This window comes from Homo sapiens, chromosome 6 (genome assembly GCF_000001405.40).
Source record: "Homo sapiens chromosome 6, GRCh38.p14 Primary Assembly".
NCBI classification, from domain to species: Eukaryota; Metazoa; Chordata; class Mammalia; order Primates; family Hominidae; genus Homo; species Homo sapiens.
Window position 1 is genome coordinate 32,795,807 of NC_000006.12, and position 21,572 is coordinate 32,817,378.

General features: G+C 41.5%; 1 protein-coding gene across 1 annotated transcript; it reads right to left on the reverse strand.

Moving 5' to 3' along the window:
* On the reverse strand, nt 16,957–21,196 carry HLA-DOB (major histocompatibility complex, class II, DO beta). Its single transcript, NM_002120.4, has 6 exons — nt 21,055–21,196; nt 19,238–19,507; nt 18,514–18,795; nt 17,917–18,027; nt 17,634–17,665; nt 16,957–17,445 (listed from the first exon to the last, which is right to left on the reverse strand). Exons 1-6 carry the CDS (start codon nt 21,143–21,145, stop codon nt 17,410–17,412), a joined length of 822 nt encoding a protein of 273 aa, NP_002111.1. The 5' UTR covers nt 21,146–21,196; the 3' UTR covers nt 16,957–17,409.

Sequence of the window (21,572 nt, forward strand, 5' to 3'; positions counted from 1 at the left end):
AATCATTTAAAAATTGACTGAGGTCAAATGTGGGCTGGAAAGAGTACAGAGCCCCAGGGGCTCACGAGTATAGGGCGGTTCACACCTTCTTGCAAGCTTCGTATCCGGGAATGCCAGTGGGTGTTCACAAATAAAAAATGGGAGAGTCCTGAGAAGGCATTCCGCATGCTTTTCAAGGAAAAGAATAAATAGAAGTTAAAGGCTTTATACATCGATGTGCATCAAATGAGTTAATTAACAGAATATAAGGGAAGCAAAGACTTTACTATCTCATGTTGAGAGCAGACTACATACTCAAACCCTATTTCGTCTGTTTTTTGTTTGTTTGTTTGTTTGTTTGTTTGTTTTGAGATGGAGTCTTGCTTTGTCGCCCAGGCTGCAGTGCAGTGGTGCGATCTCCTCTCACTGCAACCTCCGCCTCCCCATTAGCAGGGATTACAGTCGCACACCACCACACCCGGCTAATTTTTTTTTTGTATTTTTAGTAGAGAAGGAGTTTCACCATGTTGGCCAGGCTGGTCTCGAACTCCTGACCTCATGTGATCTGCCTGCCTCGGCTTCCCAAAGTGCTGGAATACACGTGTGGGCCACTGCGCCCAGCCTCCTCCGTTAATCTATTATCATTCTTCTCTAATATTCTCAAACTTACTTAATTCATTAACGTGATATATGTTGACATCTCATTAAATATGTCTCTATTTATGACATACTCAACAACATGTGTGTAGTGTTATAAAATTTTAATTTATTTTATAAATATTTAACACTAACTGAGTGCCAGGCATTCTTCTATGCACTTAAATAGCAGACAGGCATGGTGGCCGACACCTGTAACCCCAGCACTTTAGGAGGCCGAGGCAGGAAGATCACTTGAGCCCAGAAGTTCAAGACCCTGTGGTTTCAGAGGCTGAGGTGGGAAGACCACTGGAGCCCAGGAGGTCAAGACTGCAGCGAGCCATTATTGCACCACTGCACTCCAGCCTGTGGGACAGAGGGAGTGAGACCCTGTCTCAGATGAAAGAAAGACAGAGAGAGAGAGAGGCATAGAGATGCATATGCACACAACGATTACATCGTAGGGCTGTTTAAATTACTCATTCTGGCTGGGGGTCTGTGCTCTAAACCACTATTGGTACGCTATTTCTGTGTGGCTGGTCTGGAAAGCTTCACACCACCCCCCTCTCCCTTCCCTGAATTTCCATATTCCCCCCAACCCTCATTATCCCTTTCAGAGTCTCGCAGGTTGAGGTGATGTGAGAGAGGAAGCAGAAGCGAAGGTTACGCGAGGAAAGCCCCTCGTTAAACTTGGGATTTTCACGGGGACTCAGTCCAGAGGAAGTTGAGAAAACCAACTTAAATTACGGTCTCGATCGCCATCTGGCGGTGGAAGTCCACATTACATCCGCGGAGCAATGGCTGGGAACGTTGCATAATAGAGCGGGGCTCAAATTCCAAATTAAGTTTCTGAATTTTTTCCATCTGGAATTTTATTTGATGATTAGTCTAGCATCGTAATGGTGTCCTTCGTGTTGACGTGAAAACCCAGTCTTCCTTCAGTTCATTTCCCGTTTATTAGGGATGCAAAACTCCAGCCACAGGTGACCTACGACTCTGACTCCTTCCCCACCTACTTTACCCTCCCCTCCCCCAGTACATTCTGGGGCTAAACCCTAAGAGGTACCCATGCATCGCTGGGCCGATGATGAAAATGAAGAAGTCTTCTGATGAAGCGAGACCCCGGAAGTGCAGCTTCAGGCAAAATCCTGAGCGAATTCTTTGCTGCCAGGACAGTCCATAGGCTCTTACTCTTAGAAATTACGTAAGCATGAGCAGTCAACGCTGAAAAGCAGAGAATGTGGTTTTCTGGCGGACTCCAGAGGGAGACCAGGAAATCCTCTCACTTACAATCCATCAAGAGTAGTTCCTCCAAATTGAGTACAAAGTCTCTAAAGGCCAGCAGAGACAAGTAAGGACTTGTAGTGAGCTGCAGCTCACCACCCGGATCAGAACATAAAAGACAGGAGACCTCACGGCCTGGAGACCCACTAGAGCAAAATCTGCCATCCCAGGCAGGGAGGAGAATCAGGCGGAGGCCTGACATGGTGAGGCCTTGCTCCAAGTGGAGAAGGTGCATAAACTTAACAACTTTGTTATTGCCCTGAGGATGTGATGTGGCAAAGGGGACAAGGATTGGATAGATTGTCTTACTGATGGAAGTTGGTAACAAACAAGGCAAATCAAAAAAGAAGCCATGAGATCCAGGGAACTGCTGTACAGGGGACATGGCTGCATAATATTAGTATAGTAACTCATTATGCACTTGTGTGGCAGACAGTGGCTGAATTCTGGAGACGGAAAATATTAATAAGACACGGAGTCCTGCTTACCACCCAGGAGACATATTAGCAAACAAAGGGGCACAGCAGAAATGTGTGTAAAATTAGGACATTGAAGTCACAAACAATTAGGAAAATTTTCTAGTGGAAATGACATTCAAGCTGATCGAGGGTATATGGAGAATGGCTTCCAAGTCTAACAAAGCATGAGCGGCTTGGACACTTGGACAGGCTTCGAGGGAAGTGAAAGTCTTTCGGAATTGGTAAAATGGGTGGGTGACAGATGAAGCAGAGGGCTAGGGATGGATGCCTCACACACCAGGCTAAGGACTTGGGTCTTTGATCTGCAGTCAGTAGGACCAGTATGCAGACTGATAGTAAGGGAAGGGTCATGGGCAGCTTCACGTTTTAGAAAGACTACTCTGATGGGAAGAGTGGGTTAGAGGAGCATAAAATTGAAAGCAGAGAAAGCAGCGTGGGTAACTGTTAGAGTAACACAGACCAGACATGATGGGGCTCGAATTAAAGTAGGATCAGGGATCTAGAGAGAGGGTCAGAGACATGTGAGGGAGCAGATGCAACATGATGTGTCGTCATCCATTGTATATGGGAGAGAGGAGAAGGCGAGAGCAGAAGATGCTTGGGAGACCAAGTGGTTAGTAATTCCAGTCATCAAGAAAGGACAGTTTAAGAGAACATTCCATATTAGACATTTTGTATTTGTAGGGCCTGTGGGTCATCCAGATGAAACTTTACTCTGTGTGGTAGATGGAATAATGCCCCCAACTGCCACCCCTGAAAGATCTGAATCTATGAAACCTGTGAATCTGTTACCTTACATGGCAAAAGGGACTTTGCATTAGTGATTAGATTAAGGATCTTGAGATGGGGAGATTATTCTGGATTAGCCAAGTGGTCCTGATATAATTACATGGGTCCTTCTAAGTGAAAGAAAGAGGCAAGAGAATAGAAGGAGATGTGATATTAGAAGCAAAAATCAGAGGAAAGTGATTGCTGGAAGGGGGCTACAAGCCGAGGAATGCAGCTGGTCGCTGCAAGCTGGAAGAGGCAAAAAACAGATTATCCGCTAAAGCCTTCAGAAGGGGAACACAGACAAGCTAACACCTTGATTAGCCCTGTACAAGTGTTAAAAGAAAAACTTTGAACAAATGAAATTTATTTTGATTTATTTGAGCAAAGCACAATTCATGAATTGGGCAGCATCCAGGACCAGAAGAGGTACAGAGAGCTCCACTGAGCAATAGGGGCAGGCAATATTTATAGAGAGAAAAAGGAAGTGGTATACAGAAGCAGCTTGTTTACAGCTCAGTATTTGCCTTATTTGATCATGGTCTGATCAGTTGGCAACCTGTGATTGCCTGAAGCTTGGCTGCTGTGTTTGCCTGAGACTCAGCTATTTATTACAAGAATATGCTCTTAAGTTAGGGTACAATTTTCTTACACATTAAGTTAGATTTCAGTATACTACGTAGGAATTCAAAGTACAGAGGCCGCTTTAAGCCAAATTTAATTTAATTTAACAGGACCCATTTTAGGCTTATAATTTCCAGAACTGTCCAACAATAAATTTTTGTTGTTTTAAAACACTAAATTGTGGTAATTTGTTACAGCACCAATAGGAAACTAATATATCCTGTAATCACGAAGCAATATAGCTCAAACCTCAGGCTTGGGGACCATATGGATTTGAGTTCTTATCATAGCTCCATCGCTTCCTACCCATATGAACTTGCGTGTCTTAATTAACCTCCCTAAGCCTCCACTTTCTCATTTGTAAAATGGGACTATCTACTAGAATTTCTGTCTGGAAAGAGGAATGGGGAGGCAGTGTGGTCAGCTGTTTTGCATAACAAGCCCTGTAGAAATACAGATGCTCCTTGACTTCAGGTGGGTTTGTGTCCTGATAAACTGCAAGTTGAAAATGCATTCAATACCCCTAACCTATCAAACATCATAGTTTAGCCCAGCCTACCCTCAACATGCTCAGAACACTTACATTAGCGTGGCTGACTGGGAGCTGTGGCTCACTACTGCTGCTCAGCGTCAGGTGAGAGTGTTATACCACATATCACTAGCCCAGAGAAAGACTGACATTTCAAATTTGAAGTACATTTCTTCCAGAATGTGTACTGCTTTCACGCCATCACAGCTGAACAATCTTAAGTGGAACCATCATAAGTCAGGAACCATCTGTATTTGATGTTTTAAACCATGTCATGTATAACTTTTTTAAAAAAAAGATAAAATAATTTTAAATATTAAAATAGGAAAATTTTAAAAAGAAAAAAGACATTTTTTTCTTTTCTTTTTCTTTTCTTTTTTTTTTTTTTTAGGCAGAGTCTTGCTCTGTCACCCAGGCTGGAGTGCAGTGACATGATCTTGGCTCACTGCAGGCTCCACCTCCTGGGTTCACACCATTCTCCTGCCTCAGCCTCCCGTGTAGCTGGGACTACAGGCACCTACCACCATGCCCAGCTAATTTTTCATATTTTTTAGTAGAGACAGGGTTTCACTGTGTTAGCCAGGATGGTCTCGATCTCCTGACCTCGTGATCTGCTCACCTCAGCCTCCCAAAGTGCTGGGATTATAGGCGTGAGCCACATTTTTTATTTTCTAAAATGAAAATGTTGATATTTAATTTTTAATCCCCTTCAAAAAAGCAACTACTCTGTTTATGAGATTTATAGAGAATTCCATATAGTTAATACTAAATACATTCCTACATCAGAATTTGTTTAATACAAAATCAATTATTTAGGTTAAAATGTTAACACTCTTCCGCTAAATTACCACTGCAATTGTGTAACTTCAAAATGCTCAGGATATTGTCAACAGAGGAAATAGAAATTGATCTTCTAGCACAATAGTCAAACAAAATTGACTATACAAGATTTTGGATGCTTGTTACACTGTTGACTCAAAACAATTCTAAACAACTCAATGTACTTGATGGACAGAATGTACTAAGAAACCAACAAAAGCAATTCATTTCTTACTTAGCTACATAAGCTAAGTAAGAAAATCGCAAATGCTGACATCCAAGGAAGCTTTCCAAGCATAGAAATAAACTCTGATAGATTATTTCAGATCCAGGATATTTGGAAAATAAATCAGATTGCCTTTTTGGATAATTCCTAAAGAATCACACAATTATGACTTTTGAATCCTTTATTAATGGAGGTTACAGCAGCCTAAATAACTTGAAAAGTGGGGTTGGCTCTCAAATAACATGGAGGGTTTGTTTTAGAGGAAACATGTAACACGACAGGACTCCAGAAGCACGTGCTTTAAGGTATAAGGACATGTACCCCTGGTGACAGAGGATGTATAAATATTGTGAGTCCAAATATATAGGCCACTTGTTTAAGAAAAAAAGACATTAGGAGTATAAAAAGGAATCAAATGTAAGTGCAAACTCATAATAAATCTAAACTACATGAGGCATAAATCCTAAATAAGTGCTTAAGTAGCTGAAATAGTATCACTTTATGTTGGAAACCTGAAAGGGACTAAATATATGACATAGAGTCCATATTTAAAAACTTCATGTAGGCATTAAATAGAAAGGATACAGCTCATTTGACAACCAGTAGAACAGGCAGCTATTTAAAGAAGCGTAATCCAAGTTAATGATGTACATATATGAGGTATTAGAATACGTAATTCAATGGCCATTCATGATAAAATGCTCAGAAAATGCAAATAGAGAGGAACTGCCTCAATTTGATAAAGAGCATCTGCAAAAAATCTTACAGCTAACACAGCGGTGAAAGACTGAAATTTTTCCCCCAAAGATCGGGAACAAAGCAATGATGTCCACTCTCGCCATGCTTATTCAACATGGCGTTGGAAGTTCTAGATAATGTAATGGGCGAGAAAAAAAAAAGGCGTGCAGATTTCAAAGGAAGAAATAAAAATGGATCAAAGTCTAATATGTAAAACATAAAGTCACAAAACTCTCAGGAGAAAATCTTCAGGATCTAGGATTAAGCAAAAAGCTTTTAGACTTGACACCAAAGGCATAATCCATAACAGGAAAAATTAATAACGTGCAACTACTAGTGGTTTGTCCTCACCAATTTGTATTTGAGGTTTATGGGGATACTTTGACACTTAGTTTTGTTGAAAATGTTAAGATGCTGTATTAAATTATACTTTTTATTTTGATATAATTGTTGATTCACAGACACTTTTAAGAAATGTTACAGAGATATCTCATGTACATTTTACCCAGTTTCCCCCAAGGATAACATCTTGTAAACTACAGTAAATTATCACAGTCTGGATATTGACATTGATATAATTAAAATAAAGAACACTTTCATCACTATAATATCCCTCATTTTGCCCTTTTGTAGCCACAGCCACTTCCCTCCCATTTCCACTTCTTCATTAACACAGCAATTATTAATTTCCATCTCTATAGTTTTGGCATTCCAGGAGTGTTATGTAAGTGGAATCATTTAGTAGACAACATTTTGCAATTTTTTTTTTCACTCAGCATAATTCCCTGGTGATTCATCCAGGTCGTGGTGCCTGTATCCAGTTTGTTCGTTTTTATTGCTAAGTAGTATTTCCTAGTATGGATATACCACAGTTTGTTTCCAGTTTTTGTCTGAATAAAGCTGCTATGAGCATACATGTGCAGATTTTTCTCTGAACATAAGTCTTCATTTCTCTGGGATAAATGCTCAGGAGTGCAATTGCTGGGTTGTATGGTGGTTGCATGTTTTGCTTTTAAAGAAAATGCCAAACTATTTTCCAGTGTGGCTGTACTATATTACATTCCCAGCAGCCAAATGTGAGTGATCTATTTTCTCTGCATCCTCACCAGGATTTGGTATTGTGCCTACTTTTTATTTTTAGCCATCATGATAGGTATATAGTAATATCTTATTGTGGTTTTAATTTGTAATTCTCTAATGGCTAATGACATTGCACATGTTTTCATGTCCTTATTTTGTATCTATGTATCCTTTTTGGTTCCATATGCATTTTAAAATAGTTTTTACTAGTTCTGTGAAGCATCTCAATTGTAGTTTAATAGGAATAACATTGAATTATAAATTGCTTTGGGCAGTATGGCCATTTTGATGATATTGTTTCTTCCTATCCATGAGCATGCAATGTTTTTCCATTTGTTTGTGTCATTTCTGATTTCATTGAGCAGTGCTTTTTAGTTCTTCTTGTGGAGATCTTTCACCTCCCTGGTTAGCTGTATTCCTAGGTATTTTATTCTGTTTGTGGCAATTGTGAATAGGACTGCATTCCTGATTTTGCTCTAGGCTTGACTGTTGTTGGTGTATAGAAATATTAGTAATTTTTGCACATTGATTTTGTATCCTGAGACCTTGCTGAAGTTGTTTATCAACTTAAGAAGTTTTTGGGCTGAGACGATAGGGTTTTCTAGATATATGATCATGTCATCTGCAAACAGGAATACTTTGACTTCCTCTTTTCCTATTTGGCTGCTCTTTATTCTTTTCTCTTGCCTGATTGCCCTGGCAAGGACTTCCAGTACTATGTTGAATAGGAGTAATGAGAGGGGGCATTCTTGTCTTCTGCCAGTTTTCAAGGGGAATGCTTCCAGGTTTTGCCCATTCAGTATGATGTTGGCTGCGGGTTTGTCATAGATGGCTCTTACTATTTTGACGTATGTTCCTTCAATAACTAGTTTATCAAGAGTTTTTAACATGAAGGAGTGTTGAATTTTATCAGAAGACTTTTCTGCATCTATTGAGATAATCATGTGGGTTTTGTCTTTAGTTCTGTTTATGTGATGAATCACATTTACTGATTTTTATATGTTGAACAAACCTCATATCCCAGGGATAAAGCCTACTTGATCATGGTAGATTGGCTTTTGGATGTGCTGCTGGATTCGGTTTGCTGGTATTTTGTTGAGGATTTTTTGCATCAATGTTTATCAAGGATATTGGCCTGAAGCTTTCTTCTTTTGTTGTGTCTCTGCCAGGTTTTGGTATTTAGATGATGCTAGCTTCATAGAATGAGTTAGGTAGGAGTCTCTTCTCCTCAATTTTTTGAAATAGTTTCAGCAGGAATGGTACCATTTCTTCTTTGTACACCTGATAGAATTCAGCTGTGAATCCATTTGGTCCTGGGTTTTGTTTTGTTTTGTTTTGTTTTGTTTTGGTAGGCTATTTACTACTGACTCAATTTCAGAGCTCATTATTAGTCTGTTCATAGATTCAATTTCTTCCTAGTTCAGTCTTAGGGGGTGTATGTGCCCAGGAATTTATCCATTTCTTCTAGATTTTCTACTTTATGTCATAGAAGTATTCATAATATTCTCTGATGGTTGTCTGTATTTCTGTGGGGTCAGTGGTAATACCTCCTTTGTCATTCCTAATTGTGTTTATTTGAATCCTTCTCTCTTTTCTTCTTTATTAGTCTAGCTAGAAGTCCATCTATTTTATTAATTATTTCATAAAACCAGCTCCTGGATTCATTGATCTTTTGAATCATTTTTGTGTCTCAATCTCCTTCCATTCAGTTCTGGATTTTGGTTATTTCTTGTCTTCTGCTAGCCTTGAGATTGGTTGGCTGTGATACTCTAGTTCTTTTAGTTATTATGTTAGGTTGTTAAATTGAGATCTTTCTAAGTTTTTGATGTTGGCATTTAGTGCTATAAATTTCCTTCTTAACACTGCTTTAGTTGTGTCCCAGAGCTTCTAATGTGTTGTATCTTTGTTCTCACTCATGTCAAAGAGTTTCTTGATTTCTGCCTGAATTTCATTATTTTCCCAAAAGTCATTCAGGAGCAGGTTATTTAATTTCCATGTAATTGTACGGTTTTGAGTGAACTTTTTTGTCTTGGTTTCTAATTTGATTGTGCTGTGGTCCAAGAGATTTTTTCTTATGATCAGTTCTTTTGCATTTGCTGAGGAGTGTTTTACTTCTAATTATGTGATCGATTTTAGAGTATGTGCCATGTGACAATGAGAAAAATGTATATTCTGTCTTTTTGGGGTGGAAAGTTCTATAAGATGTCTATCAGGTTCATTTGATCCAGAGCTGAGTTCAGGTCCTGGGTATCTTTGTTAATTTTCTGTCTTGATGATCTGTCTAACATTGTCAATGTGGTGTCAAAGTCTCCCACTATCATTGTGTGGGAGTCTAAGTCTCTTTGAAGGTCGTTAAGAACTTGCTTTATGAATCTGGGTGCTCCTCTTTTGGAGGTATATATTTTTAGAATACTTAGATCTTTTGTCGAATTGAACCATTTACCATTATGTAATGCCCTTCTTCATCTTTTTTGATCTTTGTTGGTTTAAAGTCTGTTTTGTCTGAAACTAGTATTGCAACCCCTGCTTTTTTCTGTTTTCCATTTGCTTGGTAGATTTTTCTCCATCTGTTTATTTTGATCCTATGTGTGTCACTGCATGACACACATGAGTCTTTTGAAGACAGCATACTAATAGGCCTTGGTTCTTTATCCAGATTACCACTCTGTGCCTTTTAATTGGGGCACTAGCCCATTTACATTTAAGATTAGTATTGATATGTGTGGATTTCATCCTGTCATCATGATGTTAGCTGGTTATTTTGCAGACTTGTTTATGTGGTTGCTTTATAGTGTCACTGGTCTGTGTACTTCAGTGTGTTTTTGTAGTGGCTAGTAAGTCTTTCCTTTCCATATTTAGTGCTTCCTTCAGGAGCTCTTGTAAGACAAGTCTAGTGGTAATGAAATTCCCTCAGCATTTCCTTCTCTGAAAAGGTTCTTATTTCTCCTTCACTTTTGAAGATTAGTTTGGCCAGATATGAAATTCTGGGTTGAAATTATTTTCTTTAAGAATAATAAATGTTGGCCCCAGTCTCTTCTGGCTTGTAGAGATTCTTCTGACAGGTCCACTGTTAGTCTGATGGACTTTTCATTGTAGGTGACCTGGCCTTTCTCTCTAGCTGCCAACTGTTTTTCTTTCATTTCAACCTTGGAGAATCTGATAATTATGTGCCTTTGGAATGATCTTCTTGTGAAGTATCTTACTGGGGTTCTCTGCATTTCCTGTATTTTAATGTTGGCCTCTCCAGCTAGGTTGGGGAGATTCTCATGGATGATACCCTGAAATATGTTTTCCAAGTTGGTTTCATTCTCCCCATCTCTCTCAGGAACACCAATGAGTCATAGATTTGGTCTGTTTACATAATCTCATATTTTTCAGAAGTTTTGTTCCTTCCTTTTCATTCTTTTTTCTCTATTCTTGTCTGACTATCTTATTTCAGAAAGCCAGTCTTGAAGTGTGGAGATTCTTTTTTCCACTGGGTCAGTTCTGCTATTAATAGTTGTGATTGCATTATGAAATTCTTATAGTGTGTTTTTCAGCTCTATCAAATTGGTTATGTCCTTATCTATACTGGCTATTTTATCTATCAGCTCCTGCATTGTTTTATCATAATTTTTAGCTACCTTGGATTGGGTTTCAATGTACTTCTGTAGCTCAATGATCTTCATTTCTATCCTTATTCTGAATTACATATCTGTCATTTCAGCCATCTCAGCCCAGTTCAGAATCCTTGCTCGAGAGGTGATGTGGTCGTTTGGAGAACAGAAGACACTCTGGCTTTTTGAGTTGTCAAGGTTCTTGCCTGATTCTTTCTCATCTTTGTGGGCTTATTTTCCTTTAATCTTTGAGACTGCTGACCTTTGGACAGCAAAGATCATCCAACCTTTTTTATTTATCCTATTTATCCTATTTGATGACTTTGAGGGTTTGATTGTGGTATAAGGTGGATTCAGCCAACTGACTTCATTTCTGGACAATTTTATTTGGCCAGTATTCCACTCCCAACTCCTGGACTGCATGCTGTAATTCTTTGGGACTTGTACGGGGCCCTGACTTTGTTCTCTGTTTCCTCAGAATTAGGAATCCGCTGTGATGGGCGGGGGGTGGGGGAGGTGGCAGGAGTGGTGCAGTCCGAAGTGCTCCCAGACCACTGGTCACTACACTCCAATGAGTGGTGTCAGCCAAAGTGTTTCATAGTACAGTGACAGGAGGATCTGTCCTTGTTTGAGTGTACCAGCAGCAGTGGTAGTTGAAGCTGCAGCAGAGTACTAGCAGGTGCCGGGGTGCCCACCTCCCTGCAGGCATCCACCACAGTGGCAGAGGCAATGCAACTGCAGGAAAGGAAGGGGGTCCCCTGCTGGCAACTGTGTGTGTGGTCACACAGGAAGTGGTGTTGGCTTAGGGGCAAGGCATTGGCAGGTGCAGGTCTGCGTGCCTTTTCTGTGCAGGAGTGGTCACTCAGGGTGGGGGAGGATCAGCTGTTCTCTGCACAGTGTTAGCACAGGGTGGGATGATGGAGGGAGTGGGGCTGGCTGGCTCTGTGCCCACCAAGGCTCTGTCTGCAATGGCTGTCAGGAGGGAATTGGTGGGGGGTGAATTACACTCCTATATGCTGGTGAGGCAAGGAAAACAAAACCCACCCAGCAGACATGTACCAGCAAAATGATGTGGGGAGTTGCTGTGGGCCCAGAGGAAGCTGCAGTGTGGGGAGGGAGCATGCAGGCTGGTGCCTGGTCATAGGGGCCTCCTCGTTGGAGCTCTCCACTTACTGGTCAGTCATGGTCTGCCAGTGTAGAAGCTATGGTGCAGGCCCACAGAGCACCTGAGGCTGCTTTGCAAGCAGATGTGGCCAGGCCAGGGCCCCAGGAGAGGCCAGAAGACCAACGGTTGCTCAGGTAGAACCAGACTCATCTGATGGGCAAGACCACCCTACAGATTTCAGGACCAACAGTTTCCCTAGGGCTAATGTCTCCTATGGGAGTAAGTTGAGCCTAGGGAAATGGCCATCCCTGGCCATGCTCCACTGCAGATGCTCCTGCACTGAATCCTCTAGGCTCCACACCCGCTGGCTTGCCACCCCTACGGCTTCTCTAAGCAGCTCTTCCTGCCAACTCAAGTGTCCATGGTGGTCAATGGGTCTCCTCCTGCCATGGTTGCAGAGGTCATAGTGACAGTGGGTTGTTCCTTGCCAGTTCAACTCACCCATTTTCCTGGAGCCATTGGAGGACAGGAATGAGTCTGGATGTGCTGTAGCCCCATGTAGGGCTCCCAGCTTTCTCCCACTTCAGTCCAGCTTCTGTGTCTTCCCTCTGTCCACTCTAGGTGCCTTCTGTCTGAACATCTGTTAGGAGCACGCCAGTCATCTGGGTTCCTCATTGAGAACTGTTTCACCTGGCTGCATCTAGTCAGCGATCTTGCCCTCCCCCCAACCAAGATACATTCCAATAAAACTTGTGGATACTAAAGAAAAAGAAAATACCATCTGGATACTCAGCAAAAGTAGCAATGACTTATTAATAATTAGATTATCATCAGACTTTTTGATAGCAGTTATGTGAAAATGTAGTAACTTTTTAAGATACTCAAGAGCGGAAAATGGAACCAAGATTTTTATAGCCACAAAACTGACTTTCGACTATGAAGTGCAAGAACTTCCTGGTGTGGACTGTATATGCCGTCCCAAAATTCATATGATGAAATCGTAACGCCCAAGGTGACAGTACCAGGAGGTGACGCCTTTGGAAGGTGATTAGGTCATGAGGGTGCAGCCCTTATGAATGGCATTAGGGCCCTTATAAGGGAGATTCCAGATAGCTCCCTTTCCTTCTGCCACATGAGGTCTTAGTGAGAAGATGCTGCCAGCAGGCCTTCACCAGAACCCTACCAGGCTGACACACTGATCTCAGACCTCCAGCCTCCAGAACTGTGAAAAATACATTTCTGCTGTTTTTAAGCCATCCAGTCTCTGGTAGTTGGTTATAGCAGCTCATACAAACTAAGACACTTTCCTAAGTCTTCCTGAGGCACCTAGGAGAAATAGTTTCAAACAATCATGATGACTACATCAGTAGCTTATAATTCTTTTGATATCAGGATCCCTTTTTATTCATAAAATTGTTGAGAACACCAAGAAGCTTTAGTTTACATGGGTTATGTAAAGTGACATTTATATTAATTTATTTGTTATTAAATAACAATAACAAACCCATTACATGTTAACATAAACAACACACTTTTATGGAAAATAGCTGTCTTCTCCAGCACAAAAAAATAGTGAAAAAAAAGGAATTATTTTACATTTGTAAAAATCTCTTTAATGTCTGGCTTAATAAAGCTAGCTTGGTTATATATTCTTCTACATTCAAGCTGTAACAATATGTTGTTTTGGCTAAAGCACAAGAGGAAAATCTGGCCTCACTCTTATACACAGTTGGGAAAAGAAGGAAAGTTTCCATAACCATTTCAGCTATCGTAACTGTTCTTCCTTGATAAGACACCAAAACTCAAGAAATGGCAGATTCTTAAAGGTTAGTTGCAGTGTGGAATCTGAAACCTTATATATTAACTTTTCATATTCTGTTGTGTTAAAATTCACTAGTCTATCTTTAAATGGATCTTTATGCATGACTTTGCAATATCATGCATTGATTATTTGTAAATTATTGATTCATGGGTTTACGCAGATTTTTAAAATGTTGACATATTTTATTAAACAATATTTTTTAAGCCATATTTGTTAATATCACCACCAATCTCATCAGAAACATCTTTAAGTAGTGAGAAGCTGTGGCACACGTAAGTTTTCCAAAATTTTAATTTTCTCTTGAAATTCCAATTTCCACTGTCAATATTATTTTCTTTGATGGGATAGGCTCATTTTGTTTATTTTTGAGAAAATTTCTACCAAATACCCAAGTCTGAATAATCACAGTGTGCCTTTCAGTCATTCTTTCAAGGAAAATGATGACCCACTAAAAAAAAAATGTTTAACTTCACTCACAACTCATGCAATTACATAATGGCTTTTCCACAGGACAACTGCCTTTCCATCAGTATGCACCAGAAATGCTGCCTATGTTCTTACACTGACTATTAAACAGATGTGTGCTTGAGGTTTAAAATTTAGTAAACTAATGATTTTATTGCTTCATCAAGGTCACTGGCTTTTGCTTTTTTTTTTTTTTTTTTTTTTACTGTAAGCTTATGGCAGTGAAGAACATGACCTACCTGTACAGCTTGGTGTCACCACCTTGATTTGTGCTCAGGCACTAACAGTTTCACGTGACCACCATAGATTTCTGTACCAATATGTAAATAATACAGTGAAAAAGGCAAATAACATCTTAGTATTAGTACAAAAATAGCTTGACTTCATAGGCCCCTTGAAGGGTCCCAGGGACCCCCAGGAATCCATGGACCACACCTTGAAAACCACCACATGACAGGGATATCAACATAAGGAATGATGGTGAGCATTAAACATATCTCTACTCACAGAACTAAGACTAACAAGGGAGCAAGTAGTCTATGCAATGGTACAGGATCAACTAATATAGACATAGTTCAACTAGAAAGCGGGGGAGAACATAGGTAAAAAGGGAGAACACAGGTAATAGGGAGAATGTAGGTAAAAAGAATTTCAACCGTTTTCAGTAGCCATTTTGGTGGTTGTGTATGAGTGTTATTATCCTTAGACTGCTGTCTATGTTAACTCAGGAAAAGCAAATAAGTATGGACATTCTAATTGTGTCTGTCCCTGTGTCCTTGAAAACCAGAGTTCTTGGTATAAAAGAAAGGAGATGCAGAAGTAATATAGAGAAGACTGATTTTTTTTTAAGATGGAGTATTGCTCTGTCACCAGGCCGCAGTGCAGTGGTACAATCTTGGCTCACTGTAACCTCCACCTCCCAAGTTCAAGCGCTTCTCTTGCCTCAGCCTCCCGAGTAGCTGGGACTACAGGCGCGTGCCACCACACCCAGCTAATTTTTGTATTTTTAGTAGAGACGGGGTTTCACCGTGTTGCCCAGGATGGTCTCAATCTCTTGACCTCGTGATTCGCCCGCCTCGGCCTCTCAAAGTGCTGGGATTACAGGCGTGAGCCACCGTGCCTGGATGACTGATTTTTTTAAATGTATACATGTATAAATGTTTTATTGCCATTGAACAGGCTGGACACAATGACCATTCCTATCTATTTAGGCTCCCCCACTGCCCCTCTCCCTGCTTTCTTTCCATGTCCTGACCGAAAAATCACAGAATGCCTCTGTGACCCAGCCAGCTGCAGGTTTTTCCCAGCAGGCTCGAACCCAAGCCAAGGCCTTGAACACTCCCAGGCACTGATAAACGTATCTAGGTTGTTTCTCTAAACACTGAAACTTTGTCCCAGCCCTGAGCCAGGTTCCTTAAACCTTCATATAAGCTCCATACCCTGACCCCCTCGCTGCAGACATACCTAGGCAGAACATCCCTTTTCTCTTGCTGTCTGCAAGGACTCCTGAAGCCCTCTGTAGGTAAATTCCCTAAACAAATGTTTTGGACTGATCACCCTGGCATTTAGTGCTTCTTTCTTTGAATCCTAACCCACACCATCTCAGAATGGTTTCAGGAACTTCCTTGTGGTAACTCCCTTGACGCCACTTTTGAGGTGACTCCAGCAGCGGGTTCAGTGGGACAAAACACCCTAACGCTGGATTATAGTCTTAAATGTCATTTCCCACTAAACTAAACCAGGGATTTCTGGAAAAATGGCTACCTCCAGGTCTGGCCAAGAAATGAACAAGATGAACCAGAAACATGTTGTCATCCCAGATAACAAAGAAATTATCAAAAGAAATTTGCGTCAAAAGAACTCAGTTTCATTTTTAGCCACTTGAAGAAGTTTTCACTCACCAAAAATGTAGGATATAAGCTTTAACAAGCATAAAAATTGCAATAGAGTAAAACCTATCAAACATTTAAATCCTTCTGTTTATAATTATTTAAAGAATGAAAAGTAAAACCTGATTGGCCATCTGTAGGTTTTATTAATAGTAGGAAACCAATTTGCTAACTTGAAAACTGGTAAATAAAAGGAGAGTCAAACACTGATCCTGCCTTTCCACTGTACCACTAAGTAGCCCACTAGTAAGTGGAGGGAAGTGTCTCTTCACTAGTAAATGAAGGGAACTGTCTCTTTGTAGCATTAATAAAGCATATAAATGAAGAAAAAATGACAGAATACCACCATTTAGCAATCCCCAATAAATTAACAGACCTAAGCAATTAGTATCAATGGTTGCTAACATCACAAAAAGAAACAGCTGGAAATTATGTCTCTCATGGTGAAAGGCCACAACACCACGTATAGATTTTCCAAAGGAAAAGATTGAACCAGAGTCTGATCCAGCCTCTGCATCCAGATGCCAATTTGCGGGAGGCACAGAAGGCAGAGGATGTGTTACACTGCACCATGTGTACGCAGCCAGCAAAATCCAGAGTGTGGGAAACTCTACAGGTCAAATGGATTGAGCTTTTCAACAGATTAATCATAAGGGGGAAAAAAAGGCTGATGGGGGAGAAACCAGTGAAGTATGAGAGACGTAAAAGACAACTAAGCTGTGGCGTCCAGGAACACATACCTGGGGGACTAGACTACAAAGACATGAAAGAGGTTACAATAAAATCAGGATATGGTCACTTTCGAGGGGAAGGAGAGGCTTTGATTGGCCTGACGTACAGAGACTTCCGCTGGAGCTGGCAAAGTCCTGTTCCTTGACTTGATTACAGGGGTTTTTCTTAAATAATTCACTAAAATGTACATTTTTTGTATCTCCATTTTATTTGACAATAAAAGGTTTTTAAAAACAGTGAAAAGGAAACAGTGACTACCTGAGCATTTGTCTTCTGAAGACTGTGGAGACTGCAGTTGGAAGACAGAAAGCTTTGGAGATCATGACTTATAGGAGTAGGGCTGGACCACAGAAAAGTAAATGATTTGGGGCTGGAAGGAGTAAGGTCTCAGGGGAGTTTCTGGACAATGCCCTTGGCAATGGGGATTAATGATGTACACGTAGAAGGGAGAAGGGCAGATGGGTGGGAGATGCATGATCTCAGAACACAGAGCTCCAGAATCAGTTCGGGCTCCTCCAAGGATCAGGGAAGAGAGTTATTCCCAGAACATTGACCTCATGAATGTCCTTTACCTCACCCAGGGCCCAGACTACTCATCACTACTTCAGGCTCCAGAGAGAGAAGCTTCAGTGAGGACCTTAGCATGACTGAGGGAGCAGAACAGCTCTTGAGACCTGGAGGCACAGTGATGAAGGTCTCAGGAGGCAGCCTCACCACCCCCCACAGCCGTTCCAGAGACTCAGGGGACAGTCCCATCCAGACAGCAGCAACCTTACTCCTCCCTACCCCCATGTCATCTCCCTCTGGCCAAAGAACCGGGAGAATGATCTGCCACTCAAAGACAAGGAAAAAGAGACATTACCTCATTACCAGACATCTGCGTCCTCACATATCCTGGAAAGAAATCGAGAAAAGAATGGATTGCCCCAATTAGGACCCAATATGATTATCCCGAGGGAAGAACAAATGGCTGGCAAGGTCAGCACTCTCTCTGCTTATCCCATTTCTAGCTTCAGAAAAAAATTATCCCGGTGATCCCTGAGAGGCACAATCAGCTTTCCTTGCCTCAGATCATTGACGTTAGGGAAGGTGGGAGTGGGGAAGGTCTGGGACAGGTGGCAGGGCACTCCTCACAGGCTCATTACCTTTCTGAGCCCTTAGCTGGATGACGATTCCCACCAGAAGGAAGATTAGCCCAAGTAGGAAGGCTGCAATGCCACTCAGCATCTTTCTCCAAGAATATTCAGACTGAGCTCCTATGGGAAACAGGTCTTTAAATTAGTAAAAATATCCCAATATTTAAAGCACTTTCTTGGAATCCCAGAATCTGTACTAGACACCAAATCCAATGCTAGCTAGAGAAAAATAAATAAATTTAGAAAAGGTTCTTCGAAACCAAAGTTGGCACCCATGGAGTTACCCCCCATCGGTTACAGATTCTCACAGCCCATAAGAATGCCTCCTAAATACTAAGACCAAAGAATTAGAGGACACCAGTTCATAGGGTTGGAAGCACATAATGAGGTGATTAGATCTCCTCATTTCTTGGAAGATATGAGGATAGATATCTGCCATGTTTTCTCCCACCCTAACCCAAGGACTCTGGTTTCTGTGACTGTCCCAGATCAAGGGAAAGAATAATTCATGTTGTGACCAAGATAAACGCAGAAGTGACACAGGCTCTGTATTGAGTCAGTATAGTCCTGAGTCAGGCCCAGAGAGTACTAGAAACTAATTCTCACTCCACTCCACAGAAACAGGGCTCAGCAGGCTGGAGTGATCGACAAGGCAGGTGTAGACATGTCCAAGTTCAGGAGTCATTTCTAGCATCACCACAGTCTGAAAGGTCCAGTCTCCATTCCTGATAGGGCCAGTGGACATGACCCCAGCTCTCTCCTCCTGCCCATTCAGGAACCACTTGATCTTGATATCCCCTGGATAGAAGCCTGTCACAGAGCAGTGCAGCAGATTATGCTGGTGCAGGAGTGGGGTCCTCTCTGGGTACACTGTCACCTCTGGTTGCACTAGGAAGGGAGGAAAAATGAGACACCGTGAAAGAAAACCACCAAGCTGGGACAGGAGATTCTTTAGGGACTATCACTATGTCTAATCTCTTTCCCAGATCACCCAAGTGAACACAAAGTATAGGCAAGTCTCAGCCCCCAAGATCAGTAACAGGGTATGTCAATGCCTGTCAGGAGGATTTAGACTTTCTGAGGTACTCCCACAATTACTGCTTCTCTTTGAGGGCACAATAGCCCTCGAAGTCCCTGAGAACCTTGGGGGTCTGAGACCAAGATCACAGTGGCTGACTTGTGAGGATAATATATCACAGCTGGGGCCAGAACATCTACACAGACAACCATTTATCCTAAAGCAGAAAATTGCTTGTAAGAAAGAAGAGCCATGGCCAGGTTCACATGGGGGACATTCCTGAGCCCCGCCAGACCTCAGCTTCCAGCTCACCTTTTCTCCCCACAGTGAAGGGTGCGCCCAGCCTGTAGTTGTGTCTACAGACCCCATCCACGGCCTGTCTGCTCCTCTCCAAGAGATCCAGCCGGCTGTTCCACTGCTCAGCATCTGGCTGCCCCAGCTTGGTCAATGCCACAAACATCCCCACATCACTGTCGAAACGTACATACTCCTCCAAGTTAAAGATGAATCTGACCACAAACTGCACCTTTTCTGTCCCGTTGGTGAAGTAACAGTCAGCCTTTGCCTGAATCACAAAATCTTCTGGAAAACCAAAACCAAAACCATGAACCAGCCCCCTCCTCTGGGAAAACCCATGCCTGGTAAATTACGTCAGACCACATGGATCTAAGAGGAGGCCTTTGACCTCAGTATGCTCAAAAAGCACAGTGTCAAGTGAGAAAAGAAACAGAATGGGATTCAACAGAGAATGACATTTATTAAATTTTAAAAACACATAAAGAGCAATAATGCTACATATTTCTAAAAGCCACTCTCATACTTAGAGACTTACCAGACACGTTTAGAATGGATTCTCTAGGGAGGGGAGAGAATGAGAACGGAGGCAAGAGAAGAGACGAGAGAGTCTTGCACTACTGCCAATAATTACAATGTGCTGTGAACTCATTGGGTAAAATTAAACCAATCCTATGCACTTAAGAACAACAACTACAATAAAAAGGAAATTCAAATGGAGTTAATAATGTAGGTAAGTCAGGAAGGACGTCCTGAAGACATTGCATCTAAGTCAAGACTTGAAAGATAATTGCTATTAATGTTGGGTTGTAATTTACTTTCCTTTCTAAGTTCAGAAGCCTCCTCCAACTCTGAACTGAGCCATAAGAATGACCTTCCTGGGTGAACCCCACTTATCCCTCACTCAGTAGCTAATTTCAGATGAAGTTCCAGCCTGTAATTTCTCAGCATGTATACTCTTCTCTATTTCCTCTAGTAGTCTAAACCAGGGGGGAAATCTGAATTTTTCATCATCATTTAACATCTGTGCTGATTTTTTTTTCAGTTGTATTGTTTAATGGACATTATAAACTCAGGGCGGTTTCTATTCTCTGAGAATAATGATCTCTCCTGGCCAGGTTTGTTCCTCTTTTGTATTTAATGAAACTAACATGCAAAGGGGATTCTGTTCTTAGCACATTACATCCTGTTTCTGCTCATTAATATGTGCTTTCATCTCACATTGCTTCATGGCTGCATATTCTGTCACCTGTGCTAGAAAAATAACAGTGACAAGTAACTTGTACCTGGTAGCCGGAGGACAAGGACAATGTATTCTATTCAACTTCTCTTACTTCTCAAAACTGTTTAGTACAATTCTGACAATATAATAGTGGCTTAATAAATGACAGAAGGAGCAACCTTTGTTTCCAGTTTCATTTGTCCACATATACCCCAACTGAGATTTGTTTCCGTGTCCTGACCAAAAAATCACAGATTGCCTCTGTGACCCAGCCTACTGCAGGTTGTTTCTCCCAGCAGGCTCGAACCCAAGCCAAGGCCTTCAACACGCCCAGGCACTGACTGAGGTTGATACACACAATAAGGATCCTAAACAAGACACAATGTTTCCCTCTTCCTGCCTCCCTACCCCTTGAATAGGTGGCTCTGGTATATGAAGTCCATCCCATGTAAAGAGGCAAGGCGTACCTTTCTGCCAAAGGGAAGAACACTGTTCTTTGAAACCAAAAGCCACTTCCAGTCTGGTCTGTGGCCTGGACTTACAAAGAAAGGCATCACTCCCCCATGCCAATTCTTGCATACACACTGGAAAAAAACAATTGCTCTGTTCTTACCTGGAGAGTCTGTGCCTTGAGTCATGGAGGAATCCAGTCGGGTCAGATTCACTAGCAGAGCCACCACCCAGGGGACCCACCCAGAACCCATTCTGGAGAAAGGAAAAAAATGAGATAGTAAAATCGTCAGCCTCTTCAGAATGAGCTCATAAAATTCAGTCAGAAAGTACCCATTAAGAGTATAAATCGCTGTTTTTCTGGCTTCCCCAGGATTGGAAACTCCTCAGATTGACAACCAATCAAGATAGAAGAGTTTTGCATCATCAGGTACTGGGTAGGATACTTTCACAAAGTTGTGTCATACAACTCAACCATTGTTTGCCTGCAGAATCACTGACAGTAATTTAGGTATACTAAAAATGGGCTGGGAGAAGAAGTAAAAATATATGTTTGACATATTATGGGGCCCTAGAAGAACTAGGCAGACTGTTTATTATGTATTCTTCTATTCCCTGGCCTGTTCTGACCAATAGGTCTCCCTTCTTATTGGGTGTTGACATTGCCGACAGGCAGTGTGT

Excerpts from the sequence above, each read along its gene's own strand:
- HLA-DOB (NM_002120.4), bottom strand. The coding sequence starts at position 21,145 with ATGGGTTCTGGGTGGGTCCCCTGGGTGGTGGCTCTGCTAGTGAATCTG. Across the intron at positions 18,796-19,237 it reads CTTCACTGTGGGGAGAAAAG|TGCAACCAGAGGTGACAGTG; the intron begins GTGAGCTGGAAG and ends CTCCCTTCCTAG. Across the intron at positions 17,446-17,633 it reads CGCAGATGTCTGGTAATGAG|GTCTCAAGAGCTGTTCTGCT; the intron begins GTAATGTCTCTT and ends CTGTGCCTCCAG.